The sequence below is a fragment of the Homo sapiens genome, chromosome 1, assembly GCF_000001405.40.
Source record: "Homo sapiens chromosome 1, GRCh38.p14 Primary Assembly".
Taxonomy (NCBI): Eukaryota; Metazoa; Chordata; class Mammalia; order Primates; family Hominidae; genus Homo; species Homo sapiens.
In genome coordinates, this window is record NC_000001.11 from 116,564,605 (window position 1) to 116,583,521 (window position 18,917).

At 46.4% G+C, this 18,917-nt stretch overlaps 2 protein-coding genes and 1 long non-coding RNA gene across 14 annotated transcripts in view, besides 4 other annotated features; 1 reads left to right on the forward strand and 2 right to left on the reverse strand.

The window, feature by feature from the left end:
- Positions 1–6,422, reverse strand: part of CD58 (CD58 molecule) — a 56,493-nt gene extending 50,071 nt beyond the window's left edge. For all 3 annotated transcript variants that reach the window (NR_026665.2, NM_001779.3, NM_001144822.2), the window contains exon 1: positions 6,299–6,422. Coding sequence is in view for 2 of the 3 variants with exons in the window: in NM_001779.3 (NP_001770.1) it covers positions 6,299–6,368 (70 nt within the window). In the remaining variant the exon portion in view is untranslated. The remainder of the gene's footprint in view (positions 1–6,298) is intronic.
- Positions 5,494–5,553: an enhancer, noted in NCBI's record as "active region_1571". NCBI's record gives its function as "activates an Ori minimal core promoter by ATAC-STARR-seq in GM12878 lymphoblastoid cells {active_cell/tissue: GM12878}" and the evidence as "EXISTENCE:reporter gene assay evidence [ECO:0000049][PMID:35858748]".
- Positions 6,024–6,093: a silencer, noted in NCBI's record as "silent region_1232". NCBI's record gives its function as "represses an Ori minimal core promoter by ATAC-STARR-seq in GM12878 lymphoblastoid cells {active_cell/tissue: GM12878}" and the evidence as "EXISTENCE:reporter gene assay evidence [ECO:0000049][PMID:35858748]".
- Positions 6,164–6,623: a silencer, noted in NCBI's record as "silent region_1233". NCBI's record gives its function as "represses an Ori minimal core promoter by ATAC-STARR-seq in GM12878 lymphoblastoid cells {active_cell/tissue: GM12878}" and the evidence as "EXISTENCE:reporter gene assay evidence [ECO:0000049][PMID:35858748]".
- On the forward strand, positions 6,371–10,146 carry LOC124904385 (uncharacterized). Of its 2 annotated transcripts, none has more exons than XR_007066497.1 (2): positions 6,371–6,449; positions 9,210–10,146. It is a non-coding gene; the product is annotated as an uncharacterized LOC124904385 (long non-coding RNA). The 2 variants fall into 2 exon arrangements; XR_007066498.1 differs by lacking the exon at positions 6,371–6,449 and adding an exon at positions 6,531–6,667.
- Positions 9,437–9,726: an enhancer, noted in NCBI's record as "active region_1572". NCBI's record gives its function as "activates an Ori minimal core promoter by ATAC-STARR-seq in GM12878 lymphoblastoid cells {active_cell/tissue: GM12878}" and the evidence as "EXISTENCE:reporter gene assay evidence [ECO:0000049][PMID:35858748]".
- The window catches only part of IGSF3 (immunoglobulin superfamily member 3), a 93,358-nt gene continuing 84,234 nt past the window's right edge, over positions 9,794–18,917 (reverse strand). For 8 of the 9 annotated variants that reach the window (XM_047419052.1, NM_001542.4, XM_047419070.1 and 5 more), the window contains 2 exons: positions 14,788–15,273; positions 9,794–12,958 (listed from right to left, as the gene is read on the reverse strand). In XM_047419052.1, coding sequence (XP_047275008.1) covers positions 12,708–12,958; positions 14,788–15,273 — 737 coding nt within the window. In that variant the 3' untranslated portion in view covers positions 9,794–12,707. The remainder of the gene's footprint in view (positions 12,959–14,787; positions 15,274–18,917) is intronic. The other variant, NM_001007237.3, reaches the window with a different exon arrangement.

Here is an 18,917-nt window from a genome sequence, read left to right on the forward strand (position 1 = left end):
GTAGGCAAGAGAGAGCTTGTGCAGGGGAATCCCCATTTATAAAATCATCAAATATTGTGAGACTTATTCACTATCTGAGAACAGTATGGGGGAAACTGCCCTTATGATTCAATTATCTCCACCTAGCCCTGCCCTTGACATATGGGGATTATTACAATTCAACGTAAGATTTGGGTGGGAACACAGAGCCAAACCATATCATGGGGTTTCAGCATGTTGCTTAGGATGGTCTCGAACTCCTGGGCTCAAAAGATCTGCCCACCTCAGCCTCTCAGTGCTAGGATTACAGGCATGCACCACCACTCTCAGCCAAGTTCATACTTTTGAGTTCTTGCTACTTGCCCAGCACTATCCAGGCCCTATCCACATGTCATTCCACTAATGCAAGCCCACACCAAATCCTGCCAGCTCCACCTTCAAAACACATCCAGATATCTCCCACCCCCAGTGATTCCTTTCCTGCATTGCCCCTGCAGCCTAACCAACCTCCCTGCTCTTCCTTTTCTCTCCTCTACAGACTATTCATCCAGCAGCCAGAATAATTCTTTTAAACATCCAAGTCATCATAATTTCACTCCTGTTCAAAATCCTTCAAAACTTTCCAGTCACTGAAAGCAAAAAGGCCAAAATATTTAAAAGGCCCTAAAAACTTTATCTACAGGATCCAACCCTGACTACTTTTATAACTTCATTTTCTACCACTCTCCACCACAATGGTATCCTTGAAGTTTCTTAAACGCTTGAAGCCTATCTCAGGGTCCTGAGTAGTAGACCTGGAATATCACTCCCCCAGATAGCCTTGTGGCCTATCTCTCACTTCCTTAAGTGTATGATCAATTGTCACCCTATTAAAGAGACCCTCCCTGACCACACTATGTAATACTAACCAGCAGAGGGTAGCTGAATGAACTACCATATAGCCACCCTATGAGGGACTGTACAGCTGTGAAAAAGAATGAGGTGGATCTCTATGAAGTGATAGGGAATGATTTTCCAGATGTATGGTTAAGTGACAAAAATGAGATACAAAAAAATACATAGAGTGTTACCTTGTTTAAGAAGGGTAGTTAGAAAAAAAAAAAAGAATCCAAATAACTTTTTTTTGTTTTGTTTTGTTTTTTTGTTTTTTTTTTTTGAGACAGAGTCTCACTCCGTCACCCAGGCTGGAGTGCAGTGTTGTAATCTTGGCTCACTGCAGTCTCTGCCTCCTGGTTCAGGCCATTCTCCTGCCTCAGCCTCCTAGGTAGCTGGAATTACAGGCGTGTGCCACCATGCCCAGCTAATTTTTTGTTTTAGTAGAGACAGGGTTTCACTGCGTTAGCCAGGATGGTCTCAATCTCCTGACCTTGTGATCCGCCCGCCTTGGCCTCCCAAAGTGCTGGGATTACAGTCATGAGTCACTGCACCCGGCCAGAATCCAAGTAACTTTTGAATATAGTATTGCATATTCACTGGGATATACAGATATTTCTTATTATGGAGTTATATCTTGAAAAACTCATTGTAGAGTTGAAAAATCTTAAGTCGAACCATTGCTAAGTTGGAGACTGTAATGAAAAATAAAAGGAACTGTAAAGAAATCTTTAACTGTATTTAGTAAGTTTGTAGTTGGTAGTAGATTGGTATAGCAACTGTAAAATGATTTGGGGTTTAATGTAGATTAGGAAAATATACTGATGCTACTAAGAACAGAGTTCTCACTGTGGGAGTAAGGAGATGCAAATATGGAAGAGCAGAAGAGGCAGAAGAACTAAGCAGCAAGATTATTAGTGTTAGAAGTATCAGGGTGAACTCCTGACTTTGTAAAAACTCTATTTCTTAACTTTGAAAACTGACAAGGCTGAGAAGCAATGACTCTGGTACCTGTGGGCACACTTTGCACCCAGAACTTGATTTCTAAATACCATCTCTCACTAAAAGAAACCAGGGAACCTAATGATTCGAAGGCTGAGGCAGGAACACTACAAGATGAGTCCAGAACATCTTTCTGTGCCAGAAAGTAAGGAAGTGTTTAAAATCAAACAGGAACAAACAGAGCAAAAGGACTCTGAAGCTTGAAGGTGTTCCCACTTGTCAAATGTGGGGTTGCCGAGCATCAAAATGGATGACAGGAATGCCATATTTAAAAAAGAATCCATGAGTCCACATAACCTTCTAAAATAAAAGAAAAAAAGGGAGGATGTGTGTGCAAAAGCTATCCATTACTGAACAATGTAAACTAATAAATATATATATAGAGAGAAACAGAAGAGAAAATTGCTGGGTGGCTCATGCCTATAATCCCGACACTTTGGGAAACTGACTTGGGAGGATTGCTTGAGCCCAGGAGTTCAAGACCAGCCTGGGCAACATGGCAAAACCCCGTCTCTATAAAAAATACAAAAAAATTAGGTGGACGTGAAGGCATGTCCCTGTAGTCCCAGCTATTTGGAAACTGAGGTGGGAGGATCGCTTGAGTCTGGGAGATCAAGGCTGCAGTGAGCCATAATTGTGTCACTATACTCTAGCCTGGGCAACAGAGTGAGACTGTGTCTCAAAAGAAAAGAGAAAAGGCAATGAAACAAAGAAGGAAAGAAGGGAAGGGAAGGGAAGGGAAGGGAAGGGACAGGAAGGGAGGGGGAGGGGAGGGAAAGGGAGGGGAGGGGAGGGAGGGAGGGGAGGGGAGAGAGGAAGGATGGAAGGAAGGGAGGGAGGGAGAAGAAAGGGACAAGGGTGGGGGAAGAAAATTACCATTTGAAAATATTTTAGTGGCTGGATGTGGTGGTTCATGCCTGTAATCCCAACACTTCGGTAGGCCAAGGAGGGAGGATCACTTGAGCCCAGGAGTTTAAGACCAGTCTGGGCAACATAGGGAAACCCTGTTTCTACAAAAACTAAAAAAAAATTAGCCAAGCATGGTGGCATGCACCTGTAGTCCTGGCTACTCAGAAGGCTGAGGTGGCAGAATTGCTTGAGCCTCAGAGGTCGAGGCTGGAGTTAGCTGTGATAGCACCCCTGTACTCCAGCCTGGGTGACACAGTGAGACCCTGTCTCAAAAAATAAAATAAAATATTTTAGTGATAATGGATTCTGGGAAGAATCACCATAGGATACTAAAACCACTGAATGAACAATGGCTGGAGAACAGGATATTCACTCAACCTCAAAACATCACTTAACACATCATTTATTACTTACAAAGGTAAAATGGTGCCTCTACAATGGAGAAATCTGGTAAACTTCACTTTAACCAAATGTCAAAGTTAACATCTCCAATAATGTGACAAACAGACCACATCTTCCTGATGTGACACACTGAGAAGGACCCAACATAGCTATGAAGTATTCCTGCTACAAAGAGTTACAACCAGAATCTGATCATGAGGAAACAAGCAGGCAATCCACATCCAAAGGGACATTCGGTAAAGCAACTAGCCCAGACACTTCAAAAATGATGATGTCTTAAAGTACCAAAAAAAAAAAAAAAAAAAAGCAACAGTTTTAGGTTAAAGGGGGTTAAAAAGGCATGATTATCAAATGAAGTATGTGGTGCAGGACTGGCTTCTGGGTTCTCTACCAGGAAACAGTATTGTATCAATGCCACATTTCCAGATTATGATGATTCTGTGACTTGTTGGAGAATGCTCTTGTTCTTATGAGACATATGATAAAGAATTACAGGTGAGGTGTCATGAGATCTGAAACTCTCAAATGGTTTGGCAAAAATAACAGATGGCAAAAATAACAAAGAAAACTAATGTGACAGTTAACTGGTGATTCAAGGAGAAAGTACGCAAATGTTCACTGTACTAATTTTGCAACTGTCCTAAAGATTTTAATTGTTCTAAAATTTCAAAAAAAACCCTAAACTGAAGTATTAACGACTTCCATCACCCCTTTCTTTGCTTTACTCATCTCTGTACTAGTAAATGTTTACTTTATCACCATCCAGCATCCATGTTTTTACTCATTTACTTACTGTCTCTCTCCCTCACTATAAGGTGAGCTTCACAAAGGCAGGGAACTGTGCATAGCTTGCTGTATCCCCCGTCCATTGTGCAGTGCTTAACATATAATTGACACTCAGTAAATATTTATTGCATGACTGATGTTCCCAGTAATTCTATGAAGTGGGTTTATTATTCTCCTTTCCCTCATGTGAGTGGTACTCTCTTCAAAAGTGAAGGTACTGAAGTGAAGAGAAGTTAGGGAACTCACACAAGTTCATGACTCAGGTGAGGAGTGGGGCCAGGATCCAAAGCTAGGCATCTGACCCCAGAGCTGATGCTGTTAATCACTGCATTTGCAGCTTCCCTAATGAGGCAGGCTTGGGTCCCCAAAAGGGGATATACCCATTCAGTCTTGTCTTTAGTTTAAGGCCTATGCAGAGCAGTTTATAAATACATGTTTGCTGAATCAAATGACTTCTGAATGAATACATGAATTAGGTGAGAGAGATCACCAGGAAGGGACAGTTCAAATAATCTGTTGGAGGTGGAGCTTGGGCAAACTGGGTTTGCAGTGGAAGGGAGAACACAGGTACAGGCAGCAGTGACCCAAGGTGCCAGGGAATGAGGGACCAGCTTGCCTGGAGGAGAGTTACCCCATCCATTCAATTAATCCCTGTTTGTATCTCTTCTTTTCCCCAGCCACCCGCACATGAACTCCCCAGAGCTATTTGGGCCCTGTGATGGTAGTCCACCCTGGCCTTCTGGCCTCCCTGCCTCCAATTCCTCCTGACTGCAGCCTTCCTCTTTGTTGCTAACAGATTCTTCTTCCCAGGCGCATGGTCCTGATCCTGTAAGGCCCAGGAGAAGCTCTCTCAGCTCAGAGAATCCAGACTCCCTAAGGGGACACTCAGCAATCTTTTCCCACATTATCACATGTCCACACATCACCAGTCCTTGAAGGCTGGGCTCAAATATCCTCCCTCCCATGAAGACTGCTTCACAAAAGACACTTGATTTCACAAAAGAGACTGCCTTCTTCTTCCCTCTGTACCCTCACAGCTCACCTTTTTTTTTTTTTTTTTTTTTTGAGACAGGTCATATTCTGTCACCCAGGCTGGAGTTCAGTGGCACAATCACAGCTCACTGCATCCTCTGCCTCCGGGACTCAGGTGATTCTCCCACCTCAGCCTTCCGAGTAGCTGGGACTATAGGTATGCGCCACCACGCTCAGCTAATTTTTGTATTTTTTGTAGAGCCGATCTTTCACCGTGTTGGCCCTGCTGGTCTCCGATTCCTGGCCTCAAGTGATCCACCTGCCTCAGCCTCCCAAAGTGCTAGGATGACAGGTGTAAGCCACCACGCCCAGCCCAGGCCTCTTACAACACTGACTTATCTGATCGTGCGGGTACTTTTGAGTCTATCTCAACCCCTCCCCCTTGGCTGTCTTCCATAGATGCACACGCGCACCTCCCGGGCAGGCAGCGGACGCTGAGCAAACGGACGGACGGGCTGGAGGGCTGGCAGTGGGGTGCAGGAGCCAGCCATGAGAACCCCTCAAGTACAGTTGAACTCGCTGGGAGGTTACTGCTGTACTCCCGGGGTTTTGCTATGGCCTGACTGGGGCCAATGTGTGGAGGGTGAAGGAGGATGGGGAGGCAAAATGGGAAGAAGGGGACCTATTTCCTGAGGTTGTTGTGACGACTTGGCTGACAACACACGGAGAGGATGGAACCAGTTCTGATACTAGTTTTTAGGATTTGAGGGGAGGAAAAAGGAGCAGGAGTCGCACCACTTAGGAATCCCAACGTGAGGCCGCTGCCGACTGGGCTTCCTAGTTGCCTACCCGCTCCTCGCTGTGGGGCGATTCTGAAAAGTCCTCTCTGCTGATACGGCGGACGCCGCGCGGGCGGGGACGGCACCGCGCGGGGAGGGCAGCAGGCGTCGCCCTCGAGCAGGTGGCATCCGCGCCCGCTCCCCGTCCCGGGCGCGTTCACGGCTGGGAAAAATTTTGCAGTCCGCTGAAGCGCTCAGCGACGTTACTGGGGAAGCCCAGGAAGGAACTTGGTCACTGGAGCTCGGGAGGGGGCCGGCGGGGGGGCGCAGGCCCCGCAGGAGAGGCTAGCGGGCCGGAGCCCGTCCTTCCCTAAGGCCACACAGTTCCTTGCTGACTCCATGAGGGACACTGGCGATGAAATAACAACTTTCTCTTCCTGAAAAGGCTCCCACGGCTGAGTTGTTCCCGGCCCACAGCGACCCGTCCCCACCCGTCTCTGATCGGCAACCGCCTCGAGCCCGGCGCGTCCACCCAGCCTGGGTGCTGCCCAGTACCCGCCGGCCGGCGCGGGGCCCCTGGGGCAGGCTTCACTCACCAAAGCAGTGCAGCAGGCAGACCACGCTGAGGACCCCCAGGGCCCGCCCCGCGTCGCTCCCAGCAACCATGGCTCGTCGGGCCGGCCTCTGCGCGAGTGCCCAGCCACAAGCAGCCCTAAGTTCAAGCACCGCCTACGCGGTCGGCCAGAAGTAGGGCTCCGCCCCGCCCTGGGCTGGCAGCCGGCGGCCCGCCCCGGCCCTTCCTCCCCCACCCTCCGCGGCGCCGCGTTTGTCTTCGCGCTTCCACTCCCCGGGCGCGCCTCTGGCCTCGGCTCTGCGCGCCTCCTTCCTGTGTCCCCGGGGCGCCGTCCAGTCCCCCAGCTCGGTCCCTCCCGTCATTCCGCCGCCATTCCATACGCTATTTTTAAGTAAGAAATTCTTTCCTTGAAAATGGCTTGGTTTTAAAAACCAAGGTTTTAAAGTAAGAAATTCTTTCCTTGAAAATGGCTTGGTTTTAAAAACCAGGTTTCTCTGCCTTCCTACCGCACCTCCCGCGCTTCCCCTTAGCGTTTGGGGCGTGCTGTAGGCCCCTCCGTGGCTAGACGGGGCTGTGGCTCCCAGAGAGCCACCGGAGGAGGCAGCAGGACGGGCGGGAGCACCCGGGGCCCCTCATCCCTTCAGCGCTGTGTGATCCCGCATCAGACGGCCTCTTTGAACCACTTTTCCTCAAACATGACAAGGAAAGGGAGCATTTTAGACAACTGTTAGGCGTAGGGTTACCTGAGGCAGGCCTCCCCCGTCCCCATACTCCCTTATCCCCGGAGCTGGGATTTCCAGCCTTTGGTTTCTCCCTTCTCAGATTCCTCTTTTTCTGTCTTCCCCCATCTCAACCGGGACTTTCCCTCAGGCTGAGATGTCAGATCCACATCTCCCTCACTGCCCAGCCTCCCCACATCCATCCAGCCCAAGCTGAGGCAGGCACTCATCACTCTCCCCGCTCTTCATCAGTCTGGATTGAGCTGGCCCTCCCCTCACATCCCTATATCCCAGAACAAATGACCCTATTCCCAGAACCAGCTCCTCACATCAGCCTCCCTGTCTGTCCCCTTTCTTGCAGACAGAAGCACCAGAGTTGCCCCTGCCCAGCTGAGGGAGTTCACAGAACTCTTAGTTATTATGTGAGCAGGAATCCATTTCCATGAACAGGACTCCCTGCTGCCCAAATAACCACCAACACATACATGGTGCAGGTTGTGAAACTGAGTGGGAATGTGCTTTCTTGCTGCTTCACCTCCATTATCCCCAGGTGGGGACTCGAAGTCACTCAAGACACTTGAACCATATTGCAAAGAGACATGAATTATTTCTTAAGTTAGCCATAAAATCTTAAAAGGTATCTCTATCAGTGAAACTTCTGGGACCAATGCCCTCTACCACAAACCTGCTATCTCGAGATATTCCCTACCATCTGTAGATACTGGGAACACAAGGCAGGGGCAGTGTGTAACATAAAATATGAGGAAATCAAGTGTTCTCTGCCCTGGGCTGGTAGGAACTCAGGCCAACTTAGAAAGGCAGGATGGGGTTAGACCTTCAGACACTGGGGAGCCACAGAAAGTTTTTGAGCTGGGAAGTGATATGACAGCAAACATCTATTGAGCAGGCCCTGTGTGAAGTGCATTGCTTGGATTAACTTAGTCTTACTGCTGCTGTTGTTTTTGCAAATGAGGAAACTGATGCCTGGGGAAGGTAAATTACTCAGGGCACACAGTAAAGGGCAGAACTTGGAGTCCAGCTGAGGCCATGTCCAATGCCTCTACTCTTATCCCTTCATACAGGAACGGGATATGATAATGGGACTTTTGGACTGACAGCTATGCAGCCATTTGGACTGCCAGCAAGAGCTGTTAAGCCCCTTAAGAGCAGGGCTGAGGAAAGAACAGCCCAGTCACATGGGGCTGGGGAAGCCCCTCACCCCCAGGTCATGGTCTCCAGGTATTGGGTGAGGAATAACTCATTAGGCTTCCTTGGTTGGACTCTCCTTTGACCAAGGAGCAGTGCCTGCTCTTTCATTGAGAGAAATGCTGTCCATCAAGCACTTTTAGAAGCCCTCAAATGCCTGGTTAATTTTATGAATCAAAAGCAGCTCAGGAATGCTGGACCTGCAATGCGTTAAGCAGGCAGCCAAAAAGATTCCCTTTACATACTGAGAACCTGCTATCAAAAGGAGGGGTGGATGTATTTTTCATGCTGTGACTAGTATTGCAAGGTCCAGTTTTATCTTCTTGTCACTGTAGATAATCATGGATGAGAAAGTAAGAAAAGAGGGCAGCTGAAGAGGCCGGGGCTGTTCTTCCTAGCATGCCACTCTCTGGTGTCTTGACTCTCGTTTCTGCCAAACCTTTGGAACTACTCCCACAAAGCTTAGGAATCCCAGAATGTAGTGAGCAAAACACTGCTCAATCCTGCATAAATGCAAATTGTCATTTTCATTGCATGCCTCATGAGGGAACATACATTCATTTATATAAATACTGGTTGGATTTGCACGAAGGACATAGAAGGGTAATCTTATTCCATAATACTCTATTTCCCTTTTTAAAACATACCCTGGCAGAAAAAGAACATTAGAAAAAAATTAGGAAAAATTATACATAAGACTTAACATGGAACCATTATGGGTACCCAAGGGAGAGGCAGTCACATTTTCAACTCCTGGCCAAGCCAGCAGCTGCAAGGAGTTGATAAGGATGCAGCCAATGGTTCTGGGAGCAGAGGAAAGCACACACGAAAGCTTTTGAAAGTCTTGGATTTAGAAAAAGAAGAAAAAAAGAAGTGTCTCCCTCTGCTTCTTACTATCTAGTTCCTTTTTGCATATTCTATGAATTTTAAAGAATTATAGATGGGTTCTGACTAATCACGTATCACTGCTATGGTTTTAATCATTCTAACATTCTTCTCAATTTGCAGATGTAAACCCCTCCCAACACTGGAAGAGGAAACAGAGACCAGTGCGCTGTGCAGTCTCACTTAACTAGAATGCACAACTCCTGCTTTTATCACCATTCTGGGAAATCCCCGCTGCATTTCATGGCCAGGGCAGCACTTCATAGTTGGAAAAGGATGGTGTGGACTTGCCGCAGAGGCCCTAGAGAAGGCCATCCTGTGTTCCTGCTCTCCTTCTCATCCGGCTTCTACCCCCACCCCACCCCCCAACAAAAACGCTACAGGTTATAAGATCTACATTCTGAACCTGGCTTTCAGGGGCTAGGTGTGTTGTGTGTTGCACAGCTCTAGAGGTAGCATAGCCTTGATCATCGGGGTGGAGGTGTCTATTTACTATATGTTGCAGCAGATGGCAGTGAAGTGTCTTGAGGAAGAGGTGTTTTTATCATTTGAAGGTTATGGGGTGTAATAATAAAGACTGCAATTCACAGACCTTGAGCCTAGCAGGCCAATGCCAAGGGCAGAACTGTAGGCTCCCACAGCACAGTTCCACAGAGGAAGGGGGCTGGTTAGTAAGGGGAAAGAAGGATAGAAGACTGCAGTAAATGTAAACAGCCGTATTTTCAACATAATTTACTACAGGTCTCTGAAGTGTATATAAAATGTTTTAGTGCAACATCTTACAAATAGTTTTCCTTTAAAAAAACAGAAACAAATCAACAGCTCTCTACATCATGCATGGGTAGTTTTCTTACCCCATCTTTTTTTTTCCTCAATAATTAACGCAGAGAAACCATTGTTTGAAAAGAATATGAAAACTTGCTACAGAAACACCCGGTGAAAGAGGGTGTGGTCATATTCATGTCCTAGAATGCGCCTAGCACAGTGTAGTTTTTCATAAATGCAACATTGTAGACATAGATGAATCCAGAGTATTCAGCAGTTTTCCTCCGTCTCAGAAGACTAAAGCTCCAGTAGACAATGCGCAATGAGGTCTCACAGCCACTGGAGGGCACCATTACCATCCATCTGACATCGCATTTCCATAGAAATGGCCAAAGAAAGAAGGTCCTGGGGTTTTTCATAGAAAGCTCAAAAAGTTCAACCTTTGATGCTATCCCCCAGCCCAATACAAAATACACAGAAAAAGCAATTATTAAAATACTGGCTTCGGTTTCTTTTTTTCCTTTCAAATTTCCTACAATTGCTTTACATATTTGTGTGCAGCACCTACTTCTTTATCGCCGTGAACTGAAATCTAAGATTTCAAACTGAAATCTTAGTTACACATCCTAGTCCCAGCCAGCGCTCTGGCAACCTCCCATTTAGACAGAGGAAACGCCAGTCATCTTCCCTCATTGACTCAGCCTATAAAGTAGGAGTCAGCAAATTCCCACTGAAAGCCCACATCTCTGAAATAAAGAAATGGGGCAAAAGACCTTCTTTTTTCATGACTGAGCCGCTCCTGTACCTCTAATGTGTTGATGCAGCATAATAAATGAGAATCAGCATGTCAGGCAACAGCAGGATTAAGGTGGTGGTGCCTGCACACACTGTCTCACAGGAGGGTACGGTATACTTGGGGGAGAAAAGGCAGGTCTGTGTGTCTGTCAGAAAATGGCTGAGCAATCGCCACCATGCTCCCCTCAGCTGGGAATCAGCAAAGTATCTGCCGAGCAGCCCAGGCCACCTGCATACCTGCAGACCCTTGAAGGATCAGCACAGACACTGGCCTGGGGAATCCCATGGCCTCCCCTGCAGTCTGCTCGTTCTCAGAACAGGGCTTCACTGGAATCTTTTATCAGACTTAGTTCCAGAATCCCTGATGACTTTTTCCAAACTGTGACCCCCTCTTGGGATTCAGGATGTAAGTTCCCAGAGTAAAGGAGATGGCATGCTTGGCCAGAAAAATATGGGAAAGCAAGGGTATAAGAACATCTTCATAAAGGGAGCAAAAGGAAATATTTGCAATTGATGATGCCCTAAGAAGGACAAGCAGCACCTGGCCCAACAGTGTAAAAGAACAGGGTGACACCAGCCATCATGGGGCTCAAGGGGCGTTAAAATAAAAAGCCACCATAACAATGAACAACCAAACAACCTAGAACCACAAGAGAGATCAAGAAAGGGAAAGGAAAAATCCCACAGACAATGCCTTGTGATCACAGTCTGCTGAGACTAGGCAAACAGAAAGGATGACAAAGGGCTGCGTCTGGACTGCCCCCAGGCTGATATTCTTATGGCAGTGAGAGGCAGGGAGAGAAAAATGAATAAGGAAGACATCACTATAATTAAGGAAAATCTAATTGGAAGGAAGAAGAAAAACCTAGTCTTCACACCTCCAGGGAGGTAGATATTTCTCTGCACTCTCCAACACCAGGCCCTGGAAACCCCCCTCCCACCCCTCACTGTCCCACCAAACTTAGTGTCAGCCAGCCCCGTGCCCTCCGTCAGGTGTCTGCCATGGCTGCTTTGGCCCTGTGCTCAGCTCAGGGGCCCACTTCCAAGTTCACTGGACACTTTCTTTTAAGAGTTTGGCAAAGCACCTGAAGACACAGGCCCACCTGCTCACAGTTAATCAGTTAGAGACCATCCTTGCAGCTCAGAGCAAGCCAACAGCCAGCCTTTCTCCCTTCCTTCTCTAGTCACTGGCTTTGACAAATCTGCAGGTCAGCAGCTGCTAAAAGCAGCCCCTGCCCACTTTAATTTGGAAAGTGTGTGCCGTTTGGGGCTTCTGACCCATTCTCCAAGACAGTTTTCTTATTTTTTGGCAAGGATGGGATGAAGCCTTTTTTGCCTCCCTGACAGATAGGCCGGGCACCATCTACTCCTAATGGGGTTATGCAGGATTTCTCTTGTACATACACAGTTCTTTGAAGCAAAATTCAGTGCTTTCGTCTTGACTACAAAGTGGTTCCAATAACTCCAGCTGAGGGAAAAGACAACATACAAATTTTGCCCACACTACACACAATTCTTAAGTCTTGTTAAGAAAGTAAAAAACGTTTGGGTATATTTTGATCCATGGGTGGCATTTTCAAATGTGCAAAAACAAAGTCTTGGAAGAGATTCCTTGTCACTAGAAAGTTCGCCCTTCCTTTTGCTGTCAGTTGTACGTAAGAGAAATTCGTCCACATTAAGGAATCCAAAAAGGGTAAACTAAAGGGATTTAAAAAGAGTACATTACAAAGAATAAGAAGCCCTGTAACATCTATCTGAGAATACTAGATAAATCTGTGAGTAGATGTGGCACCTGGAGCTACTCACTACATTACTAAAAACAGAAACAAGAAATCTATAATGGCAGGATCACAACATTTGCGCGCAAATAGCTAACCAACCAAGACTGCCACCGAGAGGCAGTCTGTCTCTGTGACTGACTGGGAACTTGGAACACTTTTCAAGTCTGACAACTTTCCACACACATGCACCCCAGAGTTTGGGTGCTGTCAACTGTCCAATCACAGAGAAAGGGAGAGCCTCAGCTCCTCCGTGGCCAACATCCGCTGGGGCATCACCCGCTTAGTCTATGGCCCCTGGATGGATACTGAGAACAGGGGGCTCCAGGCAAGTAGGGGAGTAGTTGAGGTGTGGCTCTTTGATCCACAGCAGAGGCACCCCATTCTTCCCATCAGAGTTCTTGCTGGAGTTCCGGCTCTTGAAACGCACCAGAAGGATGGTGATGATAAGAATGCCAAAGATGGGGAAAGGGTAGAAGAAGACGAAGTAGAAGAGTGCGTCGTTGGAGCAGATGATGGACTGGAGGGTGGGACCTGAAAAGAATCATGAGAGAGACAAGACAATGAGGGCTGAGAACCTGGACTGCTCACATTTCCTTTTGAAGACCTCACCTGACCCAGTGGAAGCTCCTCGGTGACACTCCCACACCACCTTGTCTTTCCCCTGCTACCATTAATGGTGGAAGATGACCCTTATATTCTTTTTCTCGCAACACCTCTCCTAATTTACGGCTGTATGTTCCAACAAAGCAATGCTTCTGTTTTCCATTGAGAGCCATTATTGCTGCTTGGAAAGCCACATAATGAAACATAATTTATTGATTGTGAACTCAACTGCATCTAGAATGGTGAAGAAGCTGCTCTGGTTCAGTCGGAGCCTCCTGCATGGTTGGATTTTACATGCCCCTTTGCACTTAGTTCTGCTACAGACTTCCTTCTCTGGGATTATGACACAATCCCTTCCTGCCAGCTTCTGAGAGCAGTTTTACCAGAAATGACACTTACCTGATTAATGTTATCAATTAAATGTCATTATGGACCACTTACAAACGTCCACAGTGTGTCCGTGGCCACAAAGAACACAGTATTAGTTATAGCTGGATATGGAAGAGAATAAACCAGGCGCCCCAAGACAGGTTGAGGGCTGCTCTATAAGTCATTAGACCTTGGCAGGAGCCTAGCCTCTGGGAGCCCCTGTTTTCTCTGTAAAATAAGGCTGCTGGGTGACCTCTGTGCTCGATGAAGCTTAATAATTAGGGACATCCACAATGGACAGGTAAAATGTTGCCTAGACTGCTTTGTTTTCGCTTTGAGGCAGTGGGTTATTCAGTGGATCACAGGGTGGTCTATGTATGATGCAGCCTGCTTTCCCTTTTACTGAATAGCTGTTGCTCATCAGTATTATTAAGAACATTTAATCTGCCTGTTATTCAATTTCCAAAGTGTATGAAACTGCTGATAGTCCACCATTGTTGACCTGCAAAACTCCAATTTCATATGGTTCTAACACAATGTGAGCACGGGGTGATCAAGGCAAAAAAATAGTGGCCCAAACTTTAAAAACTCAAATCAAGATGATGTTGAAAAATGTTTTGACTAAAAAGAAGTTAAAAATTCCAGCAATCTTTTTTTTCTTTCTGTATTCTAGGCTAATTCTACTATAACACCATTTTTAGTCTAATGTAGTCCACATTTTGATGGCAAGCCAACCAAGAGTGCATTGTTACAACAAATAATTCAGGCCAGCAATACTTCCCCCAGTCTCTGTTCATAGTGGAAGTCCCTCAGGATCATGGAAACTGCATTCTGGGCAGCTGCAAATCCATCCCCTCTCAGCTCTCCTCTAATATCACAGCCCTTCTAGGCTGGTCCTCCCAACCATACAAGATCCACCTCAACCTCCAAGGCACCCTCCAAAATAACAATAACGCAGAAACTGGACAAAAAGAAATAATGACAGTGAGGTAGTCAGCCTTCATTTTTTTCCCTTTCCCTTGTGAGTCTGAAACGCTTGCTAATTCGCTAAAGACTAGTTCCAATATTCTAAAAAATAACAAAGTAACACCTAACAATATACTAGTATAATGAAATATTACTAAAATTGAATCTGGTAGAACATCGAGTTTATTATAAAGATTATATGGTATGTTATCACTTTAATTTCTATCCCTATTTTTGCATGGGTAATCAAGGGTCAATTATATGAACTAATATGTCCAATCCCACCATATCTCAAATCCTACTAATAAATGCCCATGACAGTTAAGAAAACTGTTTATTAACCCATAATCAAGCTCAAATTTATCTTCCAGACACAGTTGGAACCAACAGTGACATCCTCCCTCTGTACTTGGGAAACTCACTTGTATCTAGAACACGGATGCCGATGGGGGCTGACTCCTCCTCCGTCAGCCGGTACCATTCCTTCTGAGGGCTGGGCAGCCACTCCTCCACATGGCAGGAGTAATTGCCTGTATCTTGGGGGCTTGCCTGCAGCACTGTGAGCCGGTAGAGCACCGGGGAGAGCCTCTGGAAGCGAAGCCTGCCCTCCCAAGGACTGCCCTCTGGGCCAAAGACAGCATCTGGGCCCACGCTCAGCAGGGCCGTCCGCTCTGTTGGGTCGTCGTCGTCGTCGTCGTCCTCCTCCTCCTCCTCCTCCCTTTCCTCTTCCTGTTCTTCCAGGCCAGGGCTGCTCCTTTTCCCCCCAGCTTTAGTCCTCAGGGAATACCAGGCCACAGCGAAGCGGGAGTCCTGGCTGGAGCGGGACACGATGCTACAGTCCAGCTGGAAAGCTGCCTTCTCAGAGACCGTGGCATTGGGGACCACTGTGTCCACCTGCAGGGAAGCATCTGGGGAATGACAAGGGACAAACAGGGAAGGGGTTGTTTAAATTTATTTGCTCAAAATAAACTAAATGTCCATCATTAAACACATGATAGTAACATCCATACTATAAGATATTATGCACCTATTGAAAAGGCATAGGCAGTGCTACAGGTGGAAGTTGATCCAAGAAAAATTGTTAAGAGTACAGAACAATGTTACTGTCCATGTCATTGTATGCAGAAAACATATTTTATTTTGACATACATATCTGTTTATATCTGCATAAAATATCTGTGGAAGAATTCATAAGAAGCTGGTAGTGTGGTTCCTTATGGGAATCCCGGGGGGAAGAGGTGTTTATTTTCACTGTAACCCCTTGTAGTGGCTGAATAGTGTCCCTCCAAAATGCATGTCCACCTGGAACCTCAGAATGTGATTATTTGGAAATAGCAACTTTGCAGACGTAATTAGCAAAGAGGAGGTCTTGCTGGATTGGGGTGGGCCCTAAATCCAGTGGCTGGTGCTATGAACTGAATTGGTCCCCCTCCAAATTAATATGCTGAATTCATAACCCACGATGTGACTACATTTGGAGGTAGGACTTTTAGGAGGTAATTAAAGTTAAATGAGGTCATAAGGCTGAGTGAGACCCTAATCCAGTAAGATTGGTGTCTTATAAGAAGAAGAAGAGAGATCTCTCTCCAGGTGCATGCACCGAGGAAAGACTATTCAAGGACACAGCAAGAAGGCGCCGTCTGCGGGCCAGAAGAGCTCTTACCAGAACTTAGCCATGCTGGTGCCCTGACCTCAGACTTCCAGCCTCTAGGACTGTAGGAAAATACATTTATGTTGTTTAAGCCACCCAGTCTATAGTATTTTGTTATGGCAACTGAGCAGACTAAGATAACTAGTGTCCTTATGAGCACAGGAGAGAAGACAGAGAGAAAGTGGCCATATGATGATGGAGGCCCAAACAGGAGTGAAGCAGCCACAACCAGGGAATGTCTGTGGCCACAAGGAACTGGCAAAGGCCAGGAAGCATTCTTCCCTAGAGCCTTCATGGGGAGCATGGCTATGATGACATCCTGACTTTGGACTTCTGGCCTGCAGAACTGTAAGAGAATAAATTTCTTTTGTTTTAAACAATCAAGTTTATACTAATTTGTTATGGTAGCCCTGGGAATTTAAAACACCCATGCAGTAACTTAAATTTAAACTGTGTGCATGTAGCTTATTGCCTAAAACACAGAGAACCCAAGGAGATCAGTATCTCTCCAAGGATTAAAGCCAGATAACAGACGACAAGGCTGAAAGGGCCCTTCCCTGTGAGCACAGATGTCTCAGGAGGATGTACGCAAAGTGTCCTCCCTGCTTAGGCGGGAGACACAGAGTAACCACAGAGAGGGACCCCAAGCAGGTGAGTCACATCTCACAGATGCCAACAGACTTGAATCTGTTTTGCTGTCTTTTTTTTTTTTTTTTTTTTTTTTTGGCTCACTGTAATATGTTCTAAACAAATAATTCACTCCCTAACTCCTAAAAGGCCTCCCTTTGGCTCTGCTTATGAAATGTTCATGAAAGGTGCCAATGTAATGTAAACTGAAGTAGAGATACCAAATCAGATCCTACTTGGATGAAGACCAAATAGGAGCACTTTCCAAGTATTGTCCTGGGCTTTCAATGAATTGGCTTAGTGTCGCTCACAGGTGAACATGTCGCTCACAGGTTAACACAAGGCTGGGCTTCCCATTGCTCTTGTGGGGGCTCTGCCAAGCCCCTCTGCACCCACCTCCTGCACCCATCTGGAATCTCAGTGTGCACTGCTGGCACAGGAGGGCTCAGTAACCAGCTACAGGTGGCAGGCCCAGCTCTCTCAGGGACAAGAACATGCTTGAGAACAGAATATGGCCGGGTGGGGACTATTCAATCAGTTCACAGGTAACTCAAACTCACTCAACTCCTCAGTTGTAACTCCAAGGCCATTAGAGAGCCCTACTAGAGACCAAGGGGAGCCCCCCACCCCATGCTTTTCTCCTCCAGAGTCTAACATAGTATCCCCACGCTCCTGGTGACTGGCTAAGGTGTCAAGGGAGGTGGCCCTGGGCGATGTGCAGTGGAACTTATCATGGCCAGGGGCAAGATGGCCAGAGACCATCAGTTGAGCTCCTCAGAAACACCTCCTCCCTCTTCAATCTCCCTTTGCTTTCTTGTCTTCTAACCGCTTAACATTTTTCTTGGCCCCTTCAAATGCCTTGTCTGCATAAATGACTCAATACAAGTTTTTCGACAGAAATTAATTTCCACCTTCCCACAATCTCTCTCCCCTTAACATGTTTCTCTACCAATTTAGTTCCCTGAATCTGCCCCCTTCTAGAATATGCCAACCCTCCTCCCTGTTTGGACTTAAATACTCTCTTCTTTTCCAAGTATAAGCCATGGAAAGATGCCGACCTCTGCCCCTGCTGTCTGCGTGACACTAACAGCTCCCCTGGATCTCACTGTGACCGCCAATTCCTGGCCTGTGTGTGATGATTGTGGTTTTCTCCCTTCCCCAGTTGTGTGAGCCCAACACAACTACTAATCGACTCATCTGCAATCTTAGTGAGGATGGGAGCCCTTCATTCCATGTATTTCAGATTATTGTGAATGTCAACTCTCAGCAGTGGAAGGTGATTATTTTCCTAACAATACTTTTAGAGCTATATTATTTCAAGTCTTCCATGTGTTTAACGTATCCCTCCGAAAAAAATCTTTGAAGTACGTCTGCACAATGAATGTTATGAAACCAGTAAAAATGGTGGCTATGAAATGCTTTCACAGACATGGGAAAACGCTCATAAAAGAAAGTTGAGTGGGAAAAAAGATCACATAAAACAGTAAGATCCTGAGTTTGTTTACAGACAGAGGAAATATGAAGACATGAGGCAAAGACCAAAAAATATACACCAAATTATTAATAGTAGATATTTGTAGGCCGTGAGATTATGGCTAACCTTTCTTTTCAAAATTATACTTTTCTGTTTTCCAATGTTTTGTAATTAGTACAATCAACTTATGCAATCAGGGACAGATGGACAAAGGGACGGGAAGGCAGATTGATCCAGGCTTGCTCACAGGGTTGAACAGGAGGCAGACACAAGGCTAACGGTTCAGGTCCATGTTGGAAGCACACAGTGTGGCAGGAGGGAAGCCTGGGTGGTCACTCTGCCTGCACCTGCTGGCTGGGTGGTGATTCGCTCCATGCTTTGGTCCCTCATGAGTAAAACCTACCACTCAGAGTTATTGTGAAGACTGAACATAAGTCTCCTAACTGTGGCTGGGATGTAGCTGTACTCAATAAACATCTGTCTCCTCCCACTCCATCTGGGAGCCTCAGTGTGCTGACCTGCAGAATGGGAGGGAGTTGAGGGAGTGGGGGCACTCAGCTGCCATTCTCTACAATTTCACCTTCGGGAAAAGACATGCAGCCATTTCTAGGCAAGGTAAAAAGCAAAAAATATAAATAAGTAAAAGCTCACGGAAAAATAGGAGTTAACTCAAAGTGGAGGCAATGTTCCCTGCAGTTTAGGCAAGACACAGGCGAGTGAGATACTGCCCATTTCCTATAACCAAGGCTGCAGTGCCTCCCTGAAGCATGTTCCATGACATAAGAGACCTGGCACCACCC